This window comes from Homo sapiens, chromosome 1, assembly GCF_000001405.40.
Source record: "Homo sapiens chromosome 1, GRCh38.p14 Primary Assembly".
NCBI classification, from domain to species: domain Eukaryota; kingdom Metazoa; phylum Chordata; class Mammalia; order Primates; family Hominidae; genus Homo; species Homo sapiens.
In genome coordinates this window covers 78747113-78756318 of record NC_000001.11, presented here as the reverse complement: position 1 = coordinate 78756318, position 9206 = coordinate 78747113, and the positions used below count along the sequence as shown (strand labels likewise).

At 38.1% G+C, this 9206-nt stretch overlaps 1 pseudogene; it reads right to left on the bottom strand.

Annotated features, from left to right (window-relative positions):
* Positions 1-5462: 5462 nt before the first annotated feature.
* On the bottom strand, positions 5463-7247 carry LOC652549 (SNW domain containing 1 pseudogene; annotated as a pseudogene).

The window sequence follows — 9206 nt, the reverse complement described above, 5'->3', positions numbered from 1 at the left end:
CTTCCTGTGCTGCCATGTTTGTATCCATGTCATTCCACTAACCCCACTGGACTATAACTGTGTCAAGCAATTACATCATATACTAGGTTTCTTCTTAAAGTTAAGAACTGTCTTAACATGTTGTGCAGACAGCACATAGCACAGGAACTGAGTTGAATGAATCACAGGTATGAAATATATGTGCAGGAAAACAATGGCCTGTAGACCTTGAAAGGGGTTGTGATCCTGCTATGGAGACTATAAATTTCCAGAGTTGAGACTGCACTTAATTTGTAACACAGCAGGGTGAGACATGGCTGCATTGTGTTTTAAAAGCATGAACCAGCAATGTTGAAAGGAGAGCCAGGAGCACAAACCACATCATGGAGCCAAGGAGTTGAGTTAGAAGGCTCTTTCAGAGCTCTAATTGAGATAACAGGGCTTAGCCTAGAGATCATGAGGATGGGAAGAATTAGATGGATGTGACACTGGGGAAGTGGAACCCAACAAGTTTGACAAATGATTAGATATGAGGGTGTATTAGTCTGTTCTCATGCTGCTAATAAAAACATACCTGAGACTGGGTAATTTATAAAGGAAAGAATTTTAATTGACTCTTTGTTCCACACAACTGGGGGGGCGTCACAATCATGGTGGAAAACTAATGAGGAGCAAAGTCACATCTTACATGGCAGCAGGCAAGAGAGCATGTACAGGGGAGCTCCCCTTTATATAACCATCAGATTTTGTGAGATTCATTCACTATCATGAAAACAGCACAGGAAAATCCTGTCCCCATGACTCAGTTACCTCTGACTGGGCCCTTCCCATGGCATGTGGGAATTATGGGAGCTATAATTCAAGATGAGATTTGGGTAGGGCCACAGCCAAACAATATCACTCCACCCTGACCCCGCCCAAACCTCATGTCCTCACATTTGAAAACCAATCATGCCTTCCCAACAGTCCCCCAAAGTCTTAACTCATTTCAGCATTAACTCAAAAGTCCACAGTCTAAAGTCTCATTTGAGACAAGGCAAGTTCCTTCCACCTATGAGCCTGTAAAATCACAAGCAAGTTAGTTACTTCCTAAATATAATGGAGGTATAGGCATTGGGTAAATACAGCCTTTCCAAATGGAAGAAATTGGCCCAAATTAATGAGCTACAGGCCCTATGCAAGTCTGAAATCCAGCAGGGCAGTCAAATCTCAAATCTCCAAAATGATCTCCTTTGACTCCATGTCTCACATCCAGGTCACACTGATATAAGAAGTGGGCTCCCAAGGCCTGGAGAAACTCCACCTCTGTGGCTTTGTAAGGTACAGCCTCTCTCCCAGCTGCCTTCATAGACTGGCATTGAGTGTCTGAGGCTTTTCTAGGTGTGCGGCGCAAGCTGTTGGTGGATCTACAATTCTGGGGTCTAGAGAAAGGTGGCCCTCTTCTCACAGCTCCACTAGGCAGTGCCCCAGTGGGGACTCTGTGTGGGTGCTCCAACCCCACATTTCCCTTCCACACTACCCTAGCAGGGGTTCTCCGTGTGGGTTCCACCCCTGCAGCAAACTTCTACCTGGACATTCAGGCATTTCCATACATCCTCTGAAATCTAGGTGGAGGTTCCCAAACCTCAATTCTTGACTCTGTGCACCCACAGGCTCAATACCACATGGAAGCTGCCAAAGATTGGGACTTGCACTCTCTAAAGCCGTGGGCCAAGATGTATCTTGGCCCCTTTTAGCCATGGCTGGAGTGGCTGGGACACAGGACACCAAGCCCCTAGACTGCACAGAGCAGGAGGGCCCTGGGCCTGTCCCACAAAACCATTTTTTATCCTAGGCCTCTGGGCCTGGATGGGAGCAACTGCCACAAAGTTCTCTGCCATGCCCTGGAGACATTTTCCCCATTGTCTTGGTAATTATTATTCAGCTCTTTGTTACTTATCCAAATATCTGCAGCCAGCTTGAATTTCTCCCCAGAAAATGGGTTTTTGTTTTTAATTTCATCATTAGGCTTCAAATTTTTCAAACTTATGATCTGCTTCCTTTCGAATGCTTTGCCACTTAGAAATTTCTTCCCCCATATACCCTAAATCATCTCTCTCAAGTTCAAAGTTCCACATATCTCTAGGGCAAAGACAAAATGCCACCAGTCTCTTTGCATAGCAAGAGTGATGTTTACTCCACTTCCCAACAAGTTCCTCATCTCCATATGAGGCCACCTCAGCCTGGACCTTATTGTCCATATCACTAGTAGCATTATGGTCAAAGCCATTCAACAAGTCTCTAGCTGGGAAGTTCCAAACTTTCCCACATCTTCCTGTCTTCTGAGCCCTCCAAGTCTCTAGGAAGTTCCAAACTTTCCCCATTTTCCTGTCTTCTTCTGAGCCCTCCAAACTGTTCTACCCCCTGCCTATATAACCCAGTTCCAAAGTCGCTTCCACATTTTGAGGTATCTTTACAGCAGTCCCCCACTCCTGGTACCAATTTACTGTATTAGTCTGTTCTCACACTGCTAATAAAGACAAATCTGAGACTGGGTAATTTACAAAGGAAAGAGGTTTAATGGACTCACAGTTCCACATGGCTGGGGAAGCCTCACAATTGTAGCAGAAGGCCAAAAAGGAGCAAAGTCATGTCATACTTGGCAGCAGGCAAGACAGCGTGCAAGGGAACCTCCCTTTATAAAACCATCAGATCTCATGAGGCTTATTCACTATCATGAGAACAGCATGGGAAAAACCCATCCCCATGATTCAATTACCTCCCACCAGTTTCCTTCCTTAACATGGGGATTATGGGAGCTACAATCAAGATGAGATTTGGATGGGGACACAGCCAAACCATATGAGAGGGCAAAGGAAAAAAAAGAATTTAAAGATGATTCCAAGGTTCTGAGGCTGCTTGGCTAGAGAAATACTTATTCAGTAATTGTGCTTTCTTCCCTACTTCACATTTAAATATTCTTTTTGACATAGCTCAAGTCCTACCATCTCTGTGAAGCCTCCTTTGATGACTTTGTCTAATTCCTTTTGCCCTGATTGTCTCTACTTCCAGCTAGTACATTATAAGCACCTTATTCTTTAATTATAATTAAATTAGGATTTTATCACTTCATAATATAATGCAGTTCTATTTAATACAGTTAAGTGTCCACCTGACTTGGCCACAAATCTTTGTCCTGTTTTCCAAATAAATAGGAAAGTCCTTTGAGGATACAAACTATATTATACATTATCCAACATAGCAGTTAGAATTTATTAAATGTCAAATAAGTAATTAGTAATCAATTCACAGGCCAAAGGAAGATCCTTAAATTTTCCTGCTGGAAAATTAATAGCAGATTGAAAAGTATTTTTCCACCCCTTATTCAAAGGTGTTAACAAAAACACTTCTAGATTCCTGGACTTTTTTTGCATTGTGATTGACCATAGCACTACCAGAATCAAAATAGAAACTTCCTGCTCAATAATACTCTTTATAGACAAGTTTGTTATAGCAAAAGTAATGCGTATTAGGTAATAAACATCTGTATTAATATGTAATGAGCAATATTTAACTAAAGTTTTCCACAATGATCCTTATAAACCCTTGTTAACAGATAATTTGCCATAAAGTATTTTAGTATATTCACATATGAGACCATTGAAGACAAAGAAAAAATTATTATAAAATCTGGGAAAAAATGTCAAAAATGTAAATAAATAAATAAAATGATACATATCTTGCATAACAAACAACATTATTTCCAAAATATGTGAATGAGTTTGGAAAGTGAGATGTTTGCTGTTCATTGGCAAGAGTGCTCTATAGTTAGAGTTAACATTAATACCATAGGGTTTAAGAATATTCTGCTACTCAATATATTGATGTTTAATCTTCTACTAACATGACAAATTGTTGAAAACAGACTGGAATTCAACTTCCTGGTAATAGCCTTCCATTTCTAATTAAAGCACATTAGAAGATCAAATATTATAATAAATGCACTGTGAATTTTATCTTATTCTTTTAAAAATTAGCATGAGTATAGATTAAAATGAGAAACTTGATATTGATTATTTTTACATATTGTTTTTGTTTTGCTTTTTGTTTTGCTCTAACTTTCAGAAAGGAGAGTTAACCCCAAGGTGGAAGAGTCTTACTGGGAGGTGGAGAATGACTTTTACAAAATCATAATAAAAAACCTACCTAATCAGTGAAATTTAGTGAAGTTTCTCTCATCTATTCTCAAACTATACTATTATCTGAGATAATCAACTGTATGATATCATTTGCATATTCAGCCCATGGCTATTTAAAAAGCGATTTCAGTCATTATGTGAATTTTCCATTTGTTTTAACACAAATTCCAAAGGCAGCTTTAAAATTATTAGGAATTGTTCTTTACAACATAATTGTGTTTGTTTATAGAAAAGGGGATTTTAAAAATTTTATTTAGAAAATAAACTTCTCAGAAACTGAGAATTTATTGGCAGAAACAGAGCATTTATCATCGTTCCCACCTTGAAATATTCCAGGAATTCTTAAATGATAGAAATGGCAATTAAGGGAGCTGGGCCTGGACTGATGACGATGGGGAGTAGTTGAAAATATCAGCTATTTCACCTGCTTTTAATCAAGGTTTTCTCTGGTCCTGAACTCCTGAGTCTATTTTCCAGGTAATTGCTGTGTTGTGGAGTTCTGTCCTCTTCCTCCACTAATATCCATCTTTAATACATCTACATCATAATCATCTTGAGTTAGTTGCTCAAAACGAATTTAGACCCAGACAATTGAAATAAGTTTTCACTTCCTGATCATTGTTAGATGAGAAGATCCTGACCTAATACCTAATAGTAACTCCTTTTTTTCTAACTTGTTTTTATTGTCTTACATATTTCCATTTTGTGTGTAAAAGATATTCCATACACCAAAATTGTCTAGCATTCTAGTTAAATATCCATAAAGAATGCACATGAACAAAATATCTCAAATTGATTTGCGTTTGCTTGAATCTAATTAGATTCTAACCAATTGAAGTAATTACATAATATACTAAGTCAGATGAGTTAAGTGCTGCTTCAGAATTGCACATTGCTTTTATGAAAGCTTATTTTTGTTTTTAATCTACATAGAAATAAGGTTGCCAGATTTGGTAAACAAAAATATAGGGCACCTAGATAAATTTGAATTTCAGACAAACAAATATTTTTTATATGTCCCAAATATTGTATATCTCATTTTTTGTCTAAATATTTTTATTTAAATCAAATAGTTGCACCAAGCAAGAGCTTACTTTGCCCACTCCAAATTAAAACGGAGCACAATAAGGACAAAATTTATTTGGCAGGACTGTTACAATATGTGAACACCCTCCTTTACTCATATGCAGCTGTTCTCACACAAAATATTAACCCCAAACTATAAATGTCACACAAAAGGAAGTGGTCTTGATTTTGCATGTGGGACAGCATGTTCTATAAATGCTGAAAGGTGGGAGAAGCACAAACACAGTCCACTCTTTAAAAAAAATACTTCAAAGTAGAATTTTCTATCCCCTCCATTCTCCAGTAAAAAAGTAGTGCTGGGATCTGGCAGCCAGATTTGGTTTTTATCCTGACCATTTACAAAGTGTTCCCCCATATGACTTGCATCATTAGGGTTATAGATAATAATAATTAATTCACTTGGAAGAAAATTGTGTCTAGTCCTTCCTCCTCTTCTTGCCTTCATGCTCATATTCCATGGGGCGGCTGCTATCTGAGGGTCTTTTAGAGCCACCGTGCTGTTTCACTTCTTCCAAAAACTTGTCCAAACCAAAAGGATCTTCCTCAAACTGAACTGGTCCTTCTCGGCCTCTCTGCTTACAGCCTGAACCAGAAAACTCTTTGTCGGGAACAAATCTGTTGGTCTTTATTCTGGGTTCTAGGTCATCGTTATACATGTCCTTGTCCAGATTTTTACTGGGCCTATAACTACTGTGGGCCATATCTTTACCACCTCTCTAGGCTTGATCATAAACATTATAAATTCCATCTTCTCCACCTGCAAATCCACTGTCCATACCCTTGGATTGGTTGACGAGCCTTTGGTCGTACTGACCTTCATTGGAAGTTCAAGGATTAGGAACACAGAGAGCAATGACTTCACTGATATCCCCATTTTCATTTCTCTGCAGTTTCGACCTCTTATCAGGAGCTGCCCTGGAAAGATTCTGGTCATGCTGTCTCTCTTTTCGCCTGTCATGCCGGATTTCATTCCTCTCACGTGCCTCCCTATCCTCTTTTTCCACATGAGTTTTGATCCCAGCTCTTCTCTCCCTGGCTTTCTGTGCCATTTCTCTAAGTTTCTCTTCATATTTTCCCTTTTCTTTCTGAGCCATTTTTCTCTCTACTCGGGCACGCATTTCCACAGCTTCACAAGCCTTCTGATCAGCAATGTAGAGGATCACCAATGTGGCAACATTTTCTTTTATGTGTACTGTCTGTAGTCCTCTTCCTTCGGCAGCCAGACGTTTGTCTAATGGAATTGTATAACCCTTTGCATTTTTCCAGTTAGAAATAAAAGGAGGAAACTTTTACTCTTGCTGTTCCCTTACAATCATCTTTCGGCTAGGAGAATGCATGACAGGCACAGGAGGAGAAGGTGGTCCCCGGGGAATTTTCTTATTAATCTTGAACCTTGGAGGCTCCGTTGGATCTTTCTGCACTTCTACCATCCGACTAACCCTCTGTTTAACTCCAGAGTTGAAAGCCACTCCTTGCTGAGATGGTGTGTATCGGATATACTGAGCAGGAGCCGGTTTGTCAGCTGCCTGAACTGGCGTGACTGCGGTGACCTTCTGTGGTACAGCTTTTTATAAGGCTACTCTTGTCTTTTCTGTTATCTCTTTTATAGCTTCTTCATCGGGCCTTTGCAAGTCTGGATCATTTGCATTCGTAACATCCTTTGGAACCAGGACAGTGTATTTGCTATAAATGACCTTGTCTTTTGACTGTCCTTGTCGAGTGATTCCATCATATTTGATTTTTCCTTCAGAATCCACCTGAATGGCCAGCGCACTAGATATTTTTTTCTTTCGTCCCATATCCAGTGGATACTGAGCCACATGGATTTCTGGAAAAGCACCTCCATCTCCAAAATCCTCTAATAACCGAAGCGTCCAGCCTTTCCGGTATCTTTACCGGGAAGGTTCTCTTCCGGAAGAGACAAATGAAGTCTGCCATGATCTCTGGGATCTTGTCTTTTCTTCAGCCTCAAGCTGGTCCTGAGATAACTGAGTAGGTGCAGGTGTTTTATCTGGCAACGCTATATAAGAAGCACCTCAATTTGTCAAAGAAATACATTTTTGAAGTTTTCAAACCCAGTGCCACTTGTCTAAAGCAAATGTTTAAGTCCACATTGTGAAGAGCATAATTAATCCATTTAAACAACTTCTTAATATTATAAAGCTAGTGGTTTAAATTTTTCTTCTAAGTTGTTATTTTAAAGTTTTCTGGGCCTAATTATTCATATTTATTTGACAAATCCTGTGCTCTGGTGAAAGCTAGAAATGACAACAATCCAAAGAGCCTTTCAACTTAAATCTCTGACCTTAGGGTAAACTAGTCAAGTAGTTACTATTAGTAAGACTGTTAACTTAGAAATGTTCATTAGATAATCTAAAAGCAAGCAGACATAACAACAGAGGCCCGGATGGCTAGGACAGGGGTCTAGGAAAGGTGCGTATGCAAAATTGTTACCAAGAAAAAAACACACAAACAAAACAGTAGACACTTTACATAGTGATGCCAACTTAACATTCATATGTTCAAAATGTCACCTTCCTACACTATTCAACTTACTACATCTCAGCCCAATAGAATCATCATTCTTATGCTGCTCATCTATAAGCATAAAATATTAATAATAGTCATTTATGAATTACAAAAACACAGTGGACCTAACATATATTGACTGGGTACTGATTTCATTAGATTAATCAAGTATTTGGTATCTTAAAAGACCCTAGTGGCCCAAACACAAAGCTTCTGAATGCTATGTCAGTGTTTGGAAAACCCACAGGAGTAATTAAGATACTGTTCACAAGTTTAGTATGGACAAATTCCATATACTGGATTTGACAGCCAAGAACTAGCAATACTGGAATCATTTATAAATGAGAAAAGGAGAGTTTTAGCAAGGAAACTCATAGCTTTGTTTCATTTATAAAAATAGATATAAATTATAAACAATAGATTTACAAACTGAATCCAAAGTAATATTCAAAAATACACCATGCCCAAGTTGGGCTTATCTTGGGAATACAAATATGCTTTTTGCATTGAAAATATATTTAAATTACATGAATAGATTAAAGGAAAAAATCCATAAGATCATCTAAGAAATGTGGAAATGTTATAAAATTCAACATCTCTTGTGTACAGTAACAATAGGAAACTAAGAAGAGAGGCATCTGCTTAGCCTGATAAAAGATAGGTATCAAAGTATATCACAAATATCCTCTTAATAGCAAAACATTAAATGTGTTCCCTTCAAAATCAGGAATAAATTAAGGATTGCAAACAATTGCTACTTTTATTGAGGATCCTTTCCAATATAGTAAGAAAAATTAAATTAAAGGTATAAGTATTTGAAGAATATTTAAAAGAAGAAAATGGTTACGATTCATAGATGACATGGTTGACCACATAAAATATGCAAAATTATCTACAGACAAATTTATAGAAATAATGAGAATTCGGTATGGTGGCTTGCCAGAAACAGATGTCAGTACTATGCTTCCTGTACAGCCTGCAGAACCATGGGCCAATTAAACTGGTTTTCTTTATAAATTACTCAGTCTCAGGTATTTCTTTATAGCAATGCAAGAATGGCTTACTACGAAAGTCAACTCTGACTATTATATTTAAAATTTCAACTGGTTCTCTGCTATGGGAGTCCTATCTCACTTTATTTTTCTCAATGACATTTGTTACCTTCTTATGTGCTATATAATTCACTTATTTATTAAGTTTATTTTCAGTCTCTGACCTATTTGAACTTAATCTTCATGAGAGCAGGGATTTTTTTTATTATTGTTAAATCTACAGCATAATTAGCAGTTCCTGGAACATATGTATGGCAGACATACCTGAGAGCAATAACTTAAATGAAGGATACTGAGAATGACTCTGCATGGTAGACATACTCATAGCCGTAACTTAAGCATCCCCTGAGAATGCAGACGCACCTAAACTGTATAAACTTTC